Below are 21,376 nucleotides of genomic sequence, written 5' to 3' on the forward strand. Positions count from 1 at the left end.
ATCTTCAGCCTCCACTCCCCTCAAGTGCCTCCTGAAACACTGGGACTCCTTTGACCCTCAGACTCTAAAGAGAAAATTACTTATATTCTTTTGCACAAAGGCATGGCTGGCTTACCAGCTAGAGGACAGACAGGTCTTTCCTCCTGAGGGAAGTATTAATTTTAACACCATCCAGCAGCCGGACCTTTTCTGCAAACATGAGCGTAAATGGTCTGAGGTCCCATATGTATAAGCCTCCTTTGCTTTGTGGGATAACCCAGACCTCTTTCAATGCTATAGCATTGACTCAGCCCTACTAGCAGTTGTATTGTGAGAGGAGCTGCAAGGGACAGTTTTAGTGGACTGGGACAGGGAGGCGGGAATCCCTGGAAATGCCTATAGAGAGGCACTACCTTCTCTATAGGTTCCCCTGGTCCATCCTGCCCAACTTATCCAGGACTTCCTAGAACCCCGTCAAACTTACCCCATTCTAGGAACCCTCTTTTTAGGTGGCCCCTGGCCTTACTCATGCCCCTAGAAAAGATGCCTTGTGAATATGGTCCCATTAAGGTACAGGTCCTCTTTTCTATACAGGACTTAAAACAAATTAAGAGGGATCTTGGTACTCCGGATAATGCTGATATGTATATAGAAGCTTTCCAGAACTTAACCAAAGTATTTAAACTCTCTTGGAAAGATTTTATGCAACCCTTGAATCAAACCCTGACTGCTGCTGAAAAATAGGCAGCCCTGCAAGCAGCAGAGAAATTTGAAGACAAACTTTGTGTCTCATACAATGCCAGAAAAGGGGAAGAGTATTATCCAATTGAGAGGGTAGCAGTGCCCTTGGAGGACTCTAAATGGAACATTGATGAAAGCACCAGAGAATGGAGAAGGAATCTCTTTCTAATGTGTATATTAGAGGGCTCACAAAGAACCAGGGCCAAGCTTCTTCATTACTCCAAACTATCTATGATAGACCAGAAACCAGATGAAAATCCTTCAGCCTTTTTGGAAAGGCTGAGAAAAGCTTTAATAAAACACACCTCCCTGTTTCTCAATTCAAATGAAGGACAACAAATATGAAAGGACAAGTTTATTACCCAGTTAGACAAGTTGTCAGGAAGAAGCTACAGAAATAAGCCATAGGACCAGATAACACCTTATAAAACCTCCTGAAGGTGGCCACCTCGTCTTTTACAACAGGCACGAGGAGGAGGCTCAGGAGAAAGAGGAAGCACAAGAAAAAGGCAGAGGCTCTAGTGGCTACTCTGCAGGCCTATAAAACCCAGGAGTCCTGAGCTGCACCTGTTAATTGCTACAGGTGTGGCAAACCAAGACACTTTAAGAAGGATTGTCCAGGCAGCAAAAGGAAGTCTCCTTGACGCTGTCCAGCCTGTGTTGGGGACCACTGGAAGGCTCACTGTCCCTGGAGGTTTAGGTCACTGGGTCCAGAGCTAGTCTCACAAATGGTCCAGTAGGATGGATGGGTCATGGGCTCAACTCCACAGCTCCAATGGCTCAGACTGCTATTACCATCTAGGAGCCTCAGGTGATTCTGGAGGTTGAAGGGAGGAAGGTGAACTTCCTTCTGGACACTGGAGTGAGCCTTTCTGATCTCCCCTCCAATCTGGGCCTTCCTCCTCCTGTAGCATGACCGTGATGAACAACTCAGGAAAGACTTTAATCCGACGTTTTCCTCAACCCATAAGTTGGAGCTGGGTAGAACTCTTGTTTACTCAGGCCTTTTGAATCATGCCTGAAAGCCCAACTGCTTTGCTAGGTAGGGATCTCTTAGCTCCTATGGGACTGATCATCCTTATAGATCCAGAGCAAACACTTTGTCTTCCCCTGGTGGAGACCAACATTAATTCAGAAGTTTGGGAAACTCAAGGAAAAATTGGCAGGGCTACAACCACCATACTGGTTCAAATCCATCTTACAGCTCCCACATCCTTCCCTAACCAGAGGCAATATCCCCTTGTGATGGTTAATACTGAGTGTCAACTTGATTGGATTGAAGGATGCAATATTGATCCTGAGTGTGTCTGTGAGGGTGTTGCCAATGTTGATTAACATTTGAGTCAGTGGACTGGGGAAGGCAGACCCACCCTTAATCGGGTGAGCACCATCAAATCAGCAACCAGCGAATATAAAGCAGGTGGAAAAACGTAAAGAGATGAGACAGGCCTAGCCTCCCAGCCTACATTTTTCTCCCATACAGGGTGCTTCCTGCCCTCTAACATTGGACTCCAAGTTCTTCAGTTTTAGGACTCAGACTGGCTCTTCTTGCTCCTCAGCTTGCAGACAGCCTATTTTGGGACCTTGTGATGATGTAAGTTAATATTTAATAAACTCTCCTTTGTATATATAAAGGAAACTCTTTCTAATATATATATTAGAGGGCATATATATATATATTTATGCAAACACTAATATAGAACTAATAGGATATGTATATTCTATTAGTTCTGTCCCTCTAGAGAACCCTGACTAATACATATTTTGGTACCAGGAGTGGTTCTGGATAACAGAATATTAAGGATGGAGTTCTTTCATTTGTTTTGGGGTTTCTGAAGTTGGCTGCTTAATGTGAGTAGACCCAAAAATGCTAAGGACTCTACTTCTAGTAGTATGGAGAACACTGATAGTCCTTGATGTGAACTGTTTAGAGAGTCATGCAAAAAAAAAATGCATATGACACTCCTGATTCACTGATCATGAGAAGCAAGGAGTTTAGTGACTCTACACATAATACCTTTGATCATATTTGGAGGACCAAGGAACATAATGAAGCTGGTTGGTTGCTCCTAAGCTCAGTGGACAAAGTGATGAATGAAAATGATGAACTCAGTGATTCTGTCTCCTCGCTTCAGAAGCAGATTCTGAGCCTCACATCTGCTAAGATTGCCCTGAGTAAGAGTTTTGTCTCCTGGAGAGAAAGAGCTGAAATTACGGAAAAACAAACATAAGATTTTATCATATGAGTGGCTGACCTGCAATGAAAGATCCATGCACAGCCTCACCCGGTGTCTACTGTTAAAGTGAGGGTATTGATTGGAAAAGAATGGGACCCTGCAACTTGGAATGGGGACGTGTGGGAGGACCCTGATGAAGCTGGGGACACTAAGTTTGTAAACTCTGATGAACCTATTTTGCCAGAAGGAACAGCTTCCCCATCCCCAGTAATGGCAATACCCCTACCTGACCCATGCTGCCATCAGGCTTTCCACCTTTGTCTGAGGAGATAAACCCTGTGCTCCCTGAGGGAACAGTGATGGCCTCCCCTGAGGCAGCTGCCAGGCAAGTTAATATTGATTCTCTTCAGATGCTATCCCTAACACCTCTGTTTGCTTCTACACCCATAACTAAAGTCCCGGCAGGACCCTAGAGGTAAAGTTGAGAGTGTGACCCATGAGGAGGTGCACTACACTTGAAAAGAACTGTTTGAGTTCTCTAGATAAACAGCAATCTGGAGAATAGGCATGGGAATGGATAGTAAGAGTGTGGGATAATGGCAGAAGGAACATAGAGTTGGATCAGACTGCATTTATTGATTTGGGCTCACTGAGTAGGGACTCTGCATTTAATGTTGCAGGTCAGGGAGTTAAAAAAGGTTCTAATAGTTTATTTGCTTGGTTAGCTGAAATATGCGTTAAAAGTTGGTCCACCATGAGTGAGCTGGAAATGCTTGACCTCCCTGGTTTAGTGTAGAGTAAGGGATTCAAAGGCTTAGAGAGATTGTGATGGTGGAGTGGATTAGTCACTTTAGACCTACTCATCCCAGCTGGGAGGGTCCAGAAGATATACCCTTCACCAATGCCTTGCAGAATAGATTTGTGAGGGCAGCACCTGCATCTTTGAAGAGCCCTATAATTGCTTTTCTCTGTATGTCAGATCTAACGGTTTGAACTGCAGTCACTCAACTAAAATATTTAAACACAATGGGAATAATTGGATCCCGAGGTGGCAAAGGCCAAGTGGCAGCACTCAACCATCAAAGGCAAGGCAAGGTGGGCGTAGCTACCATAATGGATAGCAGAGGCAAAGTGGCAATAGAATAGTCTGACACCTGTAGAGCCCTGGCATTGGCTAACTAATCACAATGTTCCTAGAAGTAAAACTGATAGGAAGCCTACTGCATTCCTACATACATTATACAAACAGAAAACTTATAGGTTGAATGGACAAAAGACTAATTTGAATTATAAAAACAGAGAATCACAGCCCCTCAATCACTGTCCAGACTTGAGCCAGTTTACAGACACAGAATCCCTTGAATGAAGGGAATGCCATGTCCCCCTGAGGAAGGACCCCATTACATTACCAACAATTCATGCAGATAGTGGTGCAAATATATGTGGCTAGGGAGGACCTCAAAGAAACCCCCTTTGATAACCCAGACTGGATTCTCTTTACAGATGGAAGTTCTTTTGTAGAACAAGGAGTCCATAAAGCAGGATATACAATGGTCACCCTGAATGACATTATTGAAAGCACACCTCTCTCACTGGACACAAGTGCTCAACTGGTTGAGCAAATTGCTCTCACTAGGGTACTTGGATTAAACAAAGAGAAAGCCATTAACATTTACACTGATTCCAAGTATGCTTTCCTAGTCCTCCATGCCACTACTGGAAAGAGAGACACTTCCTTACATCTAATGGGTCTACCATTAAATACCATCAGGAAATTGACAAACGAGTATCCTCACTTTTCCTTCCATGGGAAGTGGCAGTAATACATTGCAAAGTCCACCAAAAGAGGATGGGTAAAATAACCAAAAGAAACAGATTAGCAGACCAAACAGCTAAGTTAGCAGCAAAAATGCCCCAGAGTTCCAATGCACTTGAGGAACCTCTGATCTGGAAGGGCTCCATAAAAGAAATAAAACCTTGGTATTCTCCTGCAGAAATAGAATGAGCCATCTCTCAAGGATACACTTTTCAGCCCAAAGGATGGCTACTATTGGAGGATGGCAAACTTCCTTTGCCTGCCTCCAGCCAATGGAAAGTTCTTAAAATCCTTTATCAATCCTTTCACCTAGAAAAGAATAAAACTTACCAATTGGCCCAAAGGCTGTTCTCAGGTGAAAATCTGCTAAATACAGTCAAAGAGGTTATTAATGCTTGTGAAATTTGCCTTAAAATTAATCCCCTCAACAGACAGCTTCTCTCCCCTGGAACCCAAAGAATGGGAGGCTACCCAGGGGAAGACTGACAGTCAGATTTCACCCCTATGCCAAAGATAAGGGGCATCCAGTATGTCTTGGTATGGGTAGATACCTTTACTAACTGGGTAGAAGCATTCCCATGACAGAAAGAGCCTCTGAGTTGATAAAGTACTAATTAATACGATAATTACTCACTTTGGACTCCATAAGTACTCCCAGAGCAATAATGGCCCCTTATACAAGGGCTGTCACCTAGGGGGCCTCAAAAGCACTAAGCATACCATACCGTCTTCACTGTGCCTAGAGACTACAGTTCTCGGGAAAGGTAGAAAAGATAAATGATATTATCAAAGGACCTCAGAAAAATGTCTCAAGAAACTCATTTCCCTCAGGTCACTCTTCTTCCCATGGCCTTATTATGGGTGAGAAACACCCCTTCAAAGACAGGTTTGAGCCCCTTTGCCTCCACTAGCTCAGAAGGACACAAAAAATATCAATGTGAAGAAATTAGAGATCTCAAAATAAAAATTATAAAAGATAAGTAACATATGGGGCCTATTGACATTCTTTCTCTGGTGTTACCCATATGACATTTGGTACTTGGTGTCATTGCATTTGTTCTAACTTGCATAGTTAAACCTGTGTGTTGCTGCCCTTGCCAGCAATTAATCTCTCACCTTTATGAACAGTGAACACTCTCATTGCTAATCCCATCATCTTAGTCCCATTGTATCCCTTATCTGCCAAAGCCATTCAATTATCTCCACTTTTCCTCTCACCACTCATCAGTGAATATTGAAACACTTTTTGATGCATTTTTACAGGGAGACTTTCATTACCCATGGAGTCTAAATACTAATCTAATAGATCCTTTGGGAGAGGTCAAATATTATTTGGAATCAGACTTCCCAACATCCAATTGGAAATTGGGGTTGTAATTTGTATATTGGGGTATATTGGGGTACTATTTTTTATAACTGCTGCTCTGCTTCTGTGGTAATTCTCACGATAAGGCAACTTTGCCAAGGATCCCTTAATCCGGAACACCCAAGGGATTATTTACTTCCCTAAGCAGCTATTTTTCTGCTAGGATTTAATGTCTTTCACAACGTGAAACAGCTTTAGCCACAACATTGCTTTCAAAGTGATTAGCCTATTTTGCTTTTTATTCCTGTTTTTTCCCTCTGTAGCTCTTTTTTATTATATCATTTATATTTATTCCAACCATATGCAACTTTCTTAGCTAAGTAATTGTTTAACGTCTGCTTATATTATGAATGGCTTTTTTATATTAGTTTTTTAAATAATATGTAAGATAGGAAATGGAAATTACCTAACCCACCTAACCCAGGATATAACAAAAGGTCAGAATCTTAGTAATTGTTAGATTTGCCATGAATCTCCTGAAAAAATCCACCTCATACTTATACAAGTTGAAACCTATAACCAACCCTTGCAAGCAGGCACCACCAATTCCAGAGTGGCCACAATGCTTCTGTAGTCCTTCCATTTCAGCCCCTCCATTAATACAATTTATAAGAAGTCCTCCACTGCGGACGGGGGCCACCCTCAAAAAAGCTATGTATATCTCCTTTGGAATGTCACAAATTATGCATGTAGTAAAGAATTTCACTTTACTGTCACCACAATTACCATCAGGAGTACCTCTTGCACTCTGGCATATTTATCAGAAATGCTCCAATAAGCTAAATATGATTAATATATTCCTCTCACTTTCCTAAATGTTTCCAACCCTTTTCTGAAAATGCAGCAGTAGTCCCAGAAATCCAACCGTTTAGAATGGCTGTTTGGTACAAACATGGGGGGACTACCCACCTCGATAAGAGAGGATTTCCCTAGTAGTCCTCAATACCCTGTGTTTCCACCTGGAGACTAACAACATGGAACACTCTATGTTATGGAGCAGAGAGTCTTATTAATTAAAATTTTTATTCTTCCAAAGCTTTTGCTTATCAACTATTTAACGGGACTAGAGGTATTAAAACTTATCAGAACAAGAATTTTTGGACAGTTAATGCCTACATTCATTGTATGTGGGCAGATTTAATTGTTGGTGCCTTAACAAACCACTCTGCCTTACAAAAGGAAAGAGCTTGGGCTGGTACTTCTTGGGGTCCTTTAGGAGCTGAATCATCTGTCCCAAACTGTACATTCAGCCAGGATGTACAGAAGTGGGTGAACTTGAAAAAATACCACTATCTTTTATGCATCTCAGGGACTGTGGTTCGTCTGTGAAGACCAGCAGCAAAAACTCTGGGCCTTGAGTTGCCTATACTGCACAGTGGTGCGAGGGATGTATTCCCTGCAATGGGTGTTACCTCTAGATGGCTCTTTACAAATATGCCAGTATCTACTTCACAAAGTCCCTTCCCATTAAGAACGTACCAAACAGAAACGAGGAGTAGGTCTTATAGCCTTGAGTGTAATAACAGCTGTTACATCCATAGGTGGCTCGGTTGTAGGAATAGTTTACAATGCATAAACAATTCAAAATGCATCAAGTGTAATTGAACAATATGCTGAAGATGCTGTTCAGGGTTTTAAGGTCCTCCAAATGTCATTAGATTTACTTGCCAATCAGGTGATGGATCACAGAATAGACCTTGATTATCTCTTAGCAGAAAAATGAGGGGTATGTGCTATAGCAGATACTTCTTGTTGTTTTTATGTTAACTCCTAAGGAGAGGTTGAATTTGGAGCCAACCATCTACTTTGTAGAGCTAAATTGTTAAGGGGTGCTAAGACCCATTTAGCTGGAGATATATGAAATACCATTAAAGGATATCTCCCTTCAATGACATGGTTCCCCCACTTATTAGGACTTCTGGTAATGATTGTCTTAGCTCTGCTTCTTGGACTCTGCATATTAAACCTTCTTGTAAAATTTGTTTCTTCTCACCTAGAGGTCATCAAATTTTAGATGGTGATGCAGATGGCACCCCACATGGACAAGTCCTTCTTCCGAGGCCTGCTAGACCACCCTCTGCATGACTCTTGACTGCCACACAAACAATGTCCCCTCACAGCTTGAGCAGCTAGTGTGGTTTTCTTCCCTTTTCCCTAAACCGCAATTAGGGTCACTACTCCAGAATGGGGAAGGAGAGAGGAGGCAGTTAGGAGCTGGTTAGGCAGATCGAGAGGGAGGATCAGTGGAGAAGAACAGAGAGAGGCAATATTCACATGAACAACCATGGACAGCACCTAAACTGCCTATGCAGCTAAAGGGAAGAAATGTGGTTAAGAGCTTCCCCTTAAGCCAGGGTGCTGCTCACAGGGACTGTCCCAACTTAGGGGCAGGCACAATTCATCAAAATAAATATCTTTGTCTTAACCTTGCTAAATATAATATTGTTAACATGATATCAGCATTGTGTGTTTAGCCCCTCCATGGATTTTGGTTAAGCATTCATGGGTAATAACCAAGAGGGAGTCAGTCAGCCCAAACTCAAGCATGTGCAGATGCAACACCCATAGGAGGAACATTTACCTCTCCCATTTGGAGAAAAACCTACAGAAGACTTCCTGGCTTCTGCCACATAACATATCAGGAACTCAGTCCTGTTTCTGGAAACTTGCTTTCCAGCCCCCTCTCTTTGCTGATAACTTTCCTTTTGCTTAATAAATCCTACTCTACTCACTCTCCAATGTCTGCATGTCTCATTCTTCTTGGTTGTGGGACAAGAATTTGGACTTAGCTGTACTAGGGACTAAGCAGACTGCAACACTCTCAACTCTTTTCTTGAAAAATAATGCATTACTGTTATAAGACAAAAAAAGATCCCCCACTACTCATGTAATCTAGATCTTCTAGTAAATTTGTGGCTATGAGTAAATTAGACAATATCTTTATCCCACATCTAATCTTTCTCTCAAACCTGTTTGGATATAAAATAAGATTTCATAGCATGGAATAACAAACTCATTAACAACAAAGAGACATCCATTAATTGCTTAATCACAATTTTCAAAGGCAAACATGTAGGCAAATCTGTCTTGTAGACAATTACAATACAAGAGAAAATACTAATGCAAAATGTAGGTTGACAAGAAGCCAGCTGAATAAAATATTTACAATGATTAATGAAAGATCTGTGCAGTTTAAAAAGCATTTTTCTTTTCCTTATCAGTTTTGGTAAGCTGTTAGTAGTGAGGCTGCTTGTCAGAGTGTGTGGAGGAAAATAATTTGTTGCTCTGACAAAGATAGGAAAAAACCTGAGTGAAATGTGTTTAAGACAGAAACGTTGATCAAGTGACCAGTGTTGTGAGAGACTTCAGGGAATTTGCATCATACTGAGAAAGCAGCTTGGAAATATAAGAATCCACAATGGAATACAAGACAGGGAAAAGCACATACAAACATAAAGTGAAGAGAGTGCATTCCTACACATAAGATGGGATGAGGCATTTCCAGCTTCCAGATGAAAGTACTTTTTTAGGGAACATTAAATCTGACAACTTTTGCAGTCCCATCCCCACCCTTCTCTATAAGCAGATCCATTGTTCCTGGCCCTTCATTCTCAAAAAACTAAACAAAAACTTACCTTTTGTGCAAGCCCTAAAACATTTACTTTTTTTGATATAAGGTCCAGAAGCCATAATTACTTTTCCTTAAATAAGTATAATTATTTTTAAAAGGTATTTTATCTCTACTAATGTTAGATTCTGCATTGGAAATGTGTATTTACTTTTTAAAGAAAAACATTACTCATCAAAGTCACCTATTATGCAATTATCACAAATCAAGAATAGTTAAAAAGTTGATACTTTTATAGACTATGATTTCTTACCTTGTTCCATAACTAAAGGAATAGAATAAAGGGCTTGGTGATGTCATAAAGGAGTAAAACTAACTTCTAAAGGCCATTTTAGATTTCTTTTACTCACACTTATTGTGGAAATTTTAGGCATTTACAACCAAACAGTAGTACTTTGGAGATATATTTTTTTTGTATTCTATTTTGCCTTTTTCAAGACAAAAGATCGAATTTTAGTATGATGTGATTTAAGCTCATTTGCAATTTACATCCGTTAAAAATGCAGAATTCATTGAATACTCGGGAACCTCTGTCTTTTTTTGCCTCTAATCTTCAGAATACGCTGGTTTATTTTTGAAATTGAGAATAATACATGGAAAATCTTTTCATCTTATTGATGAAAGAAAGTGTTTGATCCAGCAGGCGTTAAAGTTCAAATGCACAGATAAAAGATAAAATAGTAGATTATTGAAGAGAAGTTCTTGGGCTATGTATTCATAGTAAGTAAAGACATGAAAAGGATATAATATCAGTATATCAAGCACAGGGAATACACAAAGATTACAAGATATAATGTTTTAGCTCCTTATCTGTCAGTTTAATGAATGTTATTTTTCATATTTAACACTCTATTGCACATGTCCAATTTTCAAAAGATAAGTCAGATTACATTTTGTCAGACCTAAGAAGAAATCATATTACATAACTATTAACACAGGAAAATAATGGGACATATTTTCAGCCAAATTTCTGATCTTCTAAGATAAACGAGCTGGAGCCAATAAGGCTTGAAATGCTCTAAAACCTCAACTTTTCATATACAGCATCATGCACAGCAGTTTGCATTGTTTTAAAGATGATGTCACAGTTGGCCAAGGTCAAGAAAGCACATCTGAAATATCCTTCCAACCTAGCTTACTCAACCTGGAAGCAGAAATAGTAAAGCCTGGCTCAAAAAATATTTTGAGTTCTCGTGTAATATTTTTATGTTTAGATAAGTGGCTTTCAAAAGGCAATACATGGACTCACTAAGGTGTCTCCTTGCTTACTGATTTATTCTAATATTTATTCTTACATTACAAAAAAATTTCTTTTTGTTTTTAGTGGAAACATATATCTCATAATAATACCTCTAACCTGTTACAGCACCAGGCTTTTCAATTTGATATACACAATGGAAAACAATAAAAACAAAAATGAAGTATGAATCAGTGATTTTTAATATATGTGTTTTATGATATGTTTCAATGGTTCATTTAATTTAATTCAAAGAAGTCAACTTTATAGAAATATTTATTTCTAACCATATTGTAGCTAATAGATTATAGACACAGAAGTAAATTCAATTTCCTCAATGTTAAATGTATTCCATTTTTGGATTATCAATCTGACAAAATTATTACCTAAAATATTACTTCATAAAGGTAATTACTTTTGTTAAACTACCATCCCCAGCTTGCCAATATATACAAAACCAATCATAGATTAATTGTCTTGTGCAGACTTTCATATCATGGGAATTTCTCATGCATTGATGAGTTAACACTGCTGTGTTTCATGACTTTTATGGGTTTAGCTATATGAGGATCTGTTTAAGAATCTATATGATTATTCAGTGTGCTCTCTGGAGGCAAACATTTCAGAACTGTGACAGTGAATAAGATATATGAAGGTAGTTTAGAATTTGGAGAATAAAAGAGGAAGAGGAAGAATGAATATTTATCAAAATGAAGCTATTCATCTGAGTCTTTTGGAATATTATTCAGGTTAGAATTGCTCTTTCTTTGAAAATTTTAGTTTCTTCATAATGAAAGAGGGTAAATTAACAGGTAGAAAATAGGCTAATTCAATATCTCAAAAAACTCCTAAATCCTTCCATTTTGGAAAAGTAAAAAAAAAAGGAGAACTTTTTCATACTCATTTTCATCAAATCTTTGCTCAAATGTCATCTTCACAATGAGGCTTACCTTAACTGTTCTATTTAAAATTGCACCTCCCAGCACAATCAATTCCTTTTACCATGACTATCTCTTTACTTTCTGACATTTACCTGCTCCAAACATAGTAAATGTATTTGTGTGTGTGTGTGTGTGTGTGTGTGTGTGTGCGTGTGTGTTATTGCTTATTTTGTCTCCTTCTACCAGAATGTCAACTCCATGGGGGTTGTTTTTTTTTTTTGTTCACTGATACATCAAATGGTTAGAACAGTGGCAAGCACTTAGTACAGATTCAATAACTATTTGCTGAATAAATTAACGAACACATATAAAATGCTTTTCTAGAAATATTTTATTTGCAATATAAGCAACATTAACAGCAGCTGTCATTTATTTGAGGGTTGGAGTGATGTTACCTGAAGATACAGAGGCACAGATCATCTGGCAGAGGCTGAAGATTTTGTTTTTCAGCACACTTAATTATTTCTTTATATCTTTTTATTTCCAGTATTGTAAACTTTAAGAGACTTAGTTTGTCCATACAGTATCACCATGTAATAGCTGAAAATGTTTTTTTTTGGACCAGCTGATGTAGGAAAATACAATTTTGGTAAATGAAGCGTAAGATTTAGTAGTGTCAAGATATAATAGTCATGATATGAATGTCCATTGTGAAAACAGAGAACTCCCGTGGCTGTGGATGGCAATCTATTTATGCTGCCACCGGTTGGCTATTGGAATCAAAACTCAACTCAAAATTTAGAAGCAAATTTTGCCTGTTGGTGGGGTAAGATCTTCACTTTTCGGTATTGCTTTTGCTACGGTATTTCAAATTTTTATGTGGCACTGCAAAAGTATGGAACCAGCGAGTCCACTGGAGCAAACTTTCTTAAAGAAGCTAAACTGGCAGTGAGAGCAAAAGCTAAGAAAGCCCCTCACCTCTTCTATCCAGCTAAAGCTCAGTAGTTTAGGTTAACCAGGTAACCTAAACTCAAAGTAAGCTTATAAAGCAGTATTTAATCTTATTCAGCAAAAAATCTGCATCAATCATTTATGCAAGTGATCCAAATGCATACACACTTGACCCTTGAACAGCACGAGTTTGAACTGTGAGGATCCATTTATAGCAGATTTTCTTCTGCTTCTGCAACTCTGAGACAGTAAGACCAACCTTTCTTCTTGCTTGTCTTCCTCAGCCTGCTCAATGTGAAGACGAAGAGAATGGAGACCTCCATGATGATGACTTCCACTTAATGAATAGTCAACATATTTTCTCTTTTCTTATCATTTTCTTAATAACATTTTTCTCTAGTTTACTTTATTGTAAGAATACAGTTATTCTGGGGGGAAGTCAAAAATTATACATAGATTTTTGACTGTGTGGGGGGCCAGCACCCCAAATCTTGGTTGTTGAAAGGTCTACTATGATTATCTCATTTTAATATTACAAATTTTCTATGTACAAATAAGAACCTGGACAGACACGGGTGGCTCACGCCTGTAATCCCAGCACTTTCGGAGGTCCAGGTGGGCGGATCAAGAGGTCAGGAGATCGAGACCATCCTGGCTGAAACGGTGAAACCCCGTCTCTACTAAAAATACAAAAAAAAAAAAAAAAAAAAATTAGCCAGGCCTGGTGGCTGGCGCCTGTATCCCAGCTATCGGGAGGCTGAGGCAGGAGAATGGTGTGAACCTAGGAGGCAGAGCTTGCAGTGAGCCAAGATGGCGCCACTGCACTGTAGCCTGGGCGATAGAGAGAGACTCTGTCTCAAAAAAATAAAAATAAAAAAAAAATAACCTAATGTTCTTTTCATTGATGACACTGATGTGATTTATACTTTTTTATTGTTTAGGCATTTTTCTTGCTAGATATCCTCATCTTATAATAAGCTAGAATTAAAACAATTTGGTAGTAGCATTAAAAGCTTAGCTGTAGTTATAAACACTAATGGGTAGGAACACTCTTATGGAAGCCTTTATGGCTTCTCTCAAGTGTATCACAAATAATATGAAAATGGTTTTTCTTTTTAATTCATTTTTTTTCCCTAATCATTGAAAGAAGGTTATATACAACAGTACTGTGATTTCTCATGGTGGTGTATGCCTCCATTGGAATACATTTTTGGTCCTTCATATGTGAGTTACTTACAACAGCCTCCACTTTGCTTTTCAATTCAGTAACTTTCAATTTGGTTTTCGTGTTTTGCTTTTGGCAGCTTACCTGTAAGTGCCCAAGTGTGTGTGTGTTCAATATTCCAGTTTGCATACATGCGCTTGCCAGTAATATGAGGCTTTTCAGAGATTGCTTTTCAATAAGACAAATAGAATGACCACATATTATAAATTATTAATAAGATGTTATGCACCACTTCCTGTGCTTTAATTAAAATACATTAATGAATTAAGTGAAATCAGAATTAATAAAGATATGCTAGATTTCCCCTAGAACAAGCTCAAAAAAGAAATAATATCCATGCAGCACACTAACTTTTATATTCTGTTTAATTTACCATCGTCATTCACCCTAATCCTACATATTGTATTTTATTAGAATGTTCTCTTCTGACTCACCTGGAGTTCAGGAATTCAGGCTACCAGTCAGAAGTGCTTCCTCATGTTTTGTCCTCAACCTTCAGGCTTTGGCAACAAAGTCTCTTCAGAATAGCTTATCTCGCAGCAATCAGCCATTACCACCTTAGCAAGGCTGATTCATTTATGTGACTATTTCCCAGCTCTTCAAAGCTATAATTTGTCTTTTCTGGCACTCTGCACCAGCTGAGCCCCCAGAGTTCCTGCATCCTTTCATCCTTTCTCCCACAGGGTTGAAGAATGGAAAGGAAACTAGACAGGTTTCCGTATACTGGAAGCTAAAGAGTCCCTTGCCCACCATGATTAGAACTTTCTTGTTCTTAAAGGCTTCTCGGTCAATTTACTTTTAAACAAATCATTCTTTTTAAGGAGAAGCACGTTTAGCTTCCTGCTTCCATCAGCTATAAAGCTGAATTCTTGTTTTAAAGAAAGTGTAACTACAATTATTTTTATTGGAAGCTAAAGCAGCTTATCCACTTTGGATATAGAGTTTTCAGAAATTATTTTTTTGATAGTTTTAACTTCTCACTGAAGAACAAAACATTATAAATAATACATTAAAAAGATGCATTCTAAAATGTAAGATAAAAGTGCATGGTGGTACTTTGCTATCCAATTATATAAAGGGCTTTTACTTTTAAATTTTATATTAACTGATTTAAATTGAGGGAATCCTCCTTACTTGAAACATTTTTTAACATACGTTAAATTTAGCAAAACTATTTATAATTTTATTCACAATAAGAAAGCATGCTTTAATTATGTAACATGACATTTTATGCTCTTACTTAATTCCTGACCTTGCTTTATTTATTTATTTAGGGACAGGGTCTTCCTCCAACACCCCGGCTGCAGTACAGTGGAGCAGTCTTCACTCACTGCAACTTCCACCTTCTGGGCTCACACGATCCTCCTGCCCCAAATGGGACTTCAGGTGTGCACCCCACACGTGGCGATTTTTTGTACAGGCAGGGTCTTGCTATGTTGCCCAGGCTAGTCTCGAACCCCTGAGCTTGTCTCGAACCCCTGAATTCAAGCGAACCACCTACCTAGGTGTCCCAAAGTGCTGGGATTACAGGTGTGAACCACCGTGCCTGTCTCAACTCCTAAGCTTTTCAATCCATCCTTCAGCAAAGAATCAGAAATTTTGTATAGAAGAGATTTAGTGGTGTCATACTGTTGAAAGGACAATCAGAGATCTGAGTTGGTAACCATGACAATAGGATTATCAGATCTCCTACCAATATGAACATAATTAACCAGTGAAATCAGTTACTTTATGATATCTACAACCCTTCTGCATGAAAGGTATGCTTCCAATAATTGCTCCAAGACAATATCTGACCAGGACCACTTTACTACGAGGGCCAATTACCGGGAAATGTTCTTCCAAAGGGTACCTGCCTGATCACCTTGCTAGAATTTTCATAGGCCCACACTGCATCTTTCTTCCTTATTTAAGGTGTCAGATATCCATAATGGTGTAAATGTTCTCCCAGACATCTCCAGCTCCTTTCCCCTTTCTCTTAACAAGTGATTCCCCCAACAAATGCCCTGCATATCTAACTGCCTATGCAGTTGTGCTAGTAAGACGAAGAAACTGCCTTTTGTCTGTGTCAAGATGAGGGAGGGCAGTATGGCTCTCCCTACAACATGCCTCTGGCAACTCCAGTAGCATCTTCTCATGAAAGCAACCACATGCCCTTGATCATTTTGTTTTGTCTCTGAACTTTTCCAAACTTGACATGTCTTCTTCAAAATGTCACACTCATCTGGAGGTAGCATTTCACATATGAATTAAACATAGCCTATAGCTAAGTGGAAGGTTATTTTCTTTTTCAAGTACAATACCCTGCTTGAAAGATATGGGTGGCCAAAAAAATCTTACATTTCTTTGACTTAACATTTAATTATTTTGGAAGACCTCTTAGAGTCTGAGACTGAAAGAGCAATCTTTAGAAAGTGTATATTGCTCATTAATTAGGGTGAAGATTACTTATGATTACTTATGATACAAAGATTACTGTGTGAATTAAAAAATCTACCTCATGATAAATTTTCTTAATTGGAAAACAATATATTAAGGTAAGGTAAAACTACTTTTGTATATTTATAGCTAAGTGTTTATGCATCTGAAGTTTTATCTACATCAAGCTGAATATGCTGCAAGCCTAATATTTACATACAACTCATGGCGAATTTATCATTAGTTATGATGTAGCACTAACATAGGACACTAATGGAAGCACAAGAGTCACATATTATTGTCAATTATTCACAGACCAAATTAACTTAGGTAATGTTACAGATTGACAAGCACATTCAATGATTTTGATTTAACAGATACAAATAAACTTCCTACCCTAAATACAAAATATACTTTATTTACAATATCTGTCCTACATTAAAATAGGAATATCAGTACATTTATTTTCGATCAAAGCATTAAAATTTGTTTTAAAACCCACTCTAAAATTAAAAACACTCCAGACTAGGCTCAGTGGCTCATGCCTGTAATCCCAGCACTTTGGGAGGCCGAGGTGGGCGGATCACCTGAGGTCAGGCATTTGAGACCAGCTTGGCTAATGTGGTAAAACACCGTCTCTACTAAAAATGCAAAAATTAGCTGGGCATGGTGGCAGGTGCCTGCAATCCCAGCTACTTGGGAGGCTGAGGTAGGAGAACTGCTTGAATCCAGGAGACGGAGGTCGCAGTGAGCTGAGATCACGCAACTGCACTCCAGCCTGGGCGAAAGAGCAAGACTCCATCTCAAACAAACAAACAAAACCACCACAACAACAAAAAACACTCCCACCAAAGGTAATCTCAAATGCACATGGAAGAAAAAATGGCTGAGATGACTCAAGATATATAAAGAGTTAGCTTAGAAATTCATCTGACTAGAGATTTATTATAAATTTTAATAATATAGACAGCATGTAGATTAAATCAAGAGTAAAGAGGATTTTTGTTTATCAGATAGGAAAATACATTATTAATTGAATTAAAACTTTATGATACTGGGAGGAAAAACAAGCATATTAAGAGAACAGAGCAGGAGATAAAGAAATACAACCAAACATACCTAGATATGGATATATACCAAGGTCTCTCTCTCTCTCTCTCTCTCTCTCTCTCTCTCTATATATATATATATATACACATGCACACACACATATACCTATGTATGCGTATATATGTATATATACACATATATACCTATATACACACATATATATACACACACATACATATATACTATATATATACTCTATATATACATGCATGTATATATACGTGTGTATACATATATACATATATATACACACACATATATATGTAGTAATAACTGTAAGTCAGTATATATGTAGTAATAACTATAGCAATATATATGCAGTAATAACTGTAAGTCAGTCTCAGGAAAAAGAAGACATTTGATAAGTAGTGTTAGTGTAACATGTTAGAAATTAAGATAAACTACAAATATTTACCTGACACTTTATGAGAAAAAAAATCAGATGGCTTTTAATACATACATTTATATAAAAATGAGAATGCATGATGTTACTTAACATTAAGAAAAAAGATCTTTAATGTGATTCCAAAGGCGAAAAGAAACATGATTAAACTATTTAACAGAATATCCTCTCCTTAAAAGTAGGAGAGGAAGAGAAGGAAGGAAGCATGTATGCAAAATGCTAAAATTGCAATTGTCACTAGTTTGAAAATTAGCTAAATAACCAATAAACATTGGCACAAATCAACACACACATAAGCCAAATGCTCTGATAGAAAAACTGCAAAAAATATACCAAAATAACCTTCTATCATTATTAGATAACAAAACTAAATAACTTTCTATTGTTATTATGTTGAAACAAGGAAATTACATAAACAAACACTTCTCAAAACAAGATATAAGAGCGGCCAAAAAACATGAAAAAATGCTCTTCATCTCTGATCATCAGAGAAATGCAAATCAAAGCTACAAATAGACATCATCTCACACAAGTCAGAATGGCTTTTGATAAAAGGTGAAAAAATACCAGATGTTAGTGAGGCTGTGGAGAAAATGGGAGACTTTATACACTATTATTGGGACTATAAATTAGTCCAGCCACTGTGGAGAGCAAATTGGAGATTTCTCAAATAACAAAAGTTGAACCAGCAATCCCATTATTGGGTATATACCCAAAGGAAAATAAATGATTCTACCAAAAGGACATATGCACTTGCATGCTCACTGCAGCACTATTTGCAATAGCAAAGACATGGAATCAACTTAGATGCTCATCAACAGTGTGCAGGATTAAAAAAAAAAATGTGGTTAATATATACCATGGAGTACTATGCAGCCATAAAAAATGAAATCATGTCCTTTGCAGCAACATGGATGCAGCTGGAGGCCATTATTCTAAGCAAACTAGGGCAGAAACAGAAAACAAAACACCATATATTCTCACATATAAGTGGAAGCTAAACATTAAGCGTACACATTGACATAAATATGGAAACAATAGATACTGGAGACTACTAGTGGGCAGAGAGAAAGAGGGAGGGGCGCGAAGGCTGAAGAACTACCTGTTGGGTACTATGCCCACTACCTGGGCAAAAGGTTCAGTCATATCCCAAACTTCAGCATCATAAAATATAACCATGTAACAAATCTGCACAGGTACCCCCTGATTCTAAAACAAAGTTGAACAAGAAAACAAAAATAATAAAATTGGTCAATGAGACCTAGACCAAAGAATTGAAAGTAGTTTGACATAAGAATATAGATATTAAAAACACATCCCATTTCCTATCAGGTGATAAAGGGTACAGATATTTCTGATTATAGCTAGCGTTTTTTGTGGAGAGGTAGGTGTTACATCCTTATGCATTATTCATATGAGGTTTTACTCAACTTAACTTTCTACAGAGCAATTCAATATGCATAAATATGTGTAATATTTGACCAGGCAATACCACTTACAGGGTTAGAACCTCAGAAGACACTCAGAAATATATTCCAAAATATATATTCAATATGTTTAAGGAAGTTACAGGTTTTTTTAAGGTGCAAGATGGCAAACAACCTAAATGCCCTGAGCATACTGTTTATTTAAAATGGATGCAGCAGATGGCTCATTCTTTGAAATTAGAAGCTGGTCCCAATATATTTTTAAGTAAAGCAAAACAAAAAACAAATGTCCATACTATATATTTGGTGTGATCTTATTTTAATATACATATGTACATATAAAAATATTCAAGAAATGTTTGCATTTTTAAGCCTGATGTTGGATTTGGAGTGATGCATTGGCCTTTTTTCTTTCTTTTTTTTTTTTTTTTTGAGACGGAGTTTCACTCTTGTTGCCCTGGCTGGAGTGCAATGGCGTGATCTCAGCTCACCGCAACCTCCGCCTCCTGGTTCAAGTGATTCTACTGCCTCAGCCTCCCAAGTAGCTGGGATTACAGGAGTGTGCCACCATGCCTAGCTAATTTTGTATTTTTAGTAGAGAAGTGCTTTCTCTATGTTGGTCAGGCTGGTCTCAAACTCGGGACCTCAGGTGATCCACCCACCTCGGCCTCCCAAAATATTGGGATTACAAGTGTGAGCCACCATGCCCATCTTATTGGCCCTTTTCTGTATGTACATTTACAATGTCTAATATCTCTACTATTCACATGTTTTGCTTATTTAATAAAAATATAAAGTTTGTAAAATAAGAGTTGTTGCTAATAATGAAGCAATCCTCGTAAAACAATCTAAAGATTAGAATTTCATTTTTTATGGAATATAAAGCATTCAGAAGCTTTATTTTTACAGCATGTTTTGCCTTTGGGGATCTTACATTGTTCTCACACTGAAAGCAGCTAAAAGAATAATCTTCCTCTTGGTTCATATTTTCTTTATAAACTATGGCCTTTAAGTACTTAACATTCTTTAAACTTCGGTGCCCCTGTCATGTGTTAAATTATGTGAAGAGAACAATGGAGTTGAAGTGTTTTAACCACCTTAGTGAACTAAGCTCAGCCTCAGCAGGTTTTATTATGCATCCATTAAACTTCAAGTAGGAATATATATATCAGCCTGTTTTAGTAAACCACTAATTCTCCACCAGTTTTCTCTAAGATATTTCCTCATTACATGTGTTATCATAATGCTTAGCCTCAACAAAACATTTGCAACTTACTCATTTTACACTTATTTGTCAATAGTCATCTGTGGATAAAAACGACCCAGTGAAACATGAATTTTCACTGTCTTATAAAGTTAGAAAGTTATTATTATTTATAACTTTACAGCTTTGGGTGAATATTATAGAAATAGTGATGAAATATATAATAATCTATTAAAAAATTTATCCAATACATTATGCCACTTTATCAGTAATGATCAGTAGTTTAACAAGAATATAATCAATAACAAACTTGGATTAGTGACATTTTATATATATATACTTATATTATTGTAACTATAATATATGTTATATATTATATATAATTCTATAATATATGTTATATATTATATATAATTCTATAATATATAGTTATATTATTGTAACTATAATAAACCATTAGATAAACATTAGACTAATAACACAGGCATGAAATATATGAATCCATAACTATCTATTCTTTCTCCAGCTTACAAAGATAAAGGACTTTTGTAGCTAAGTTGCTTCTCTAAAAATAAATTCAAGGTTAATCCTCCCTCTAGACGGATTAAAGAAAGGGCAACCTCTTCATGCTGGCACAGTTTTTCTGAACATGTTTGAAGATTTATAACTGGGAATCCTGCCCTAAGTAAACACGTTTGATATGTGAGCATGGACTCTTGGCTTTGGCACATTAGGCCCATCTGTTAGGTTGGCATCATTCCTACTTACAATTTGGTTGGAATTCTGCCCCAGGAATTAGGTGCCAAATGGCAA

The 21,376-nt window shown here is 37.6% G+C and overlaps 1 protein-coding gene across 8 annotated transcripts in view; it reads right to left on the reverse strand.

Annotated features, from left to right (window-relative positions):
• CDH18 (cadherin 18) overlaps nt 1-21,376 on the reverse strand; it is a 1,104,418-nt gene that overhangs the window by 867,863 nt on the left and 215,179 nt on the right. The gene's annotated exons all lie outside the window — the stretch shown is intronic.

This window comes from Homo sapiens, chromosome 5 (genome assembly GCF_000001405.40).
Source record: "Homo sapiens chromosome 5, GRCh38.p14 Primary Assembly".
In the NCBI taxonomy this organism is placed as follows: domain Eukaryota; kingdom Metazoa; phylum Chordata; class Mammalia; order Primates; family Hominidae; genus Homo; species Homo sapiens.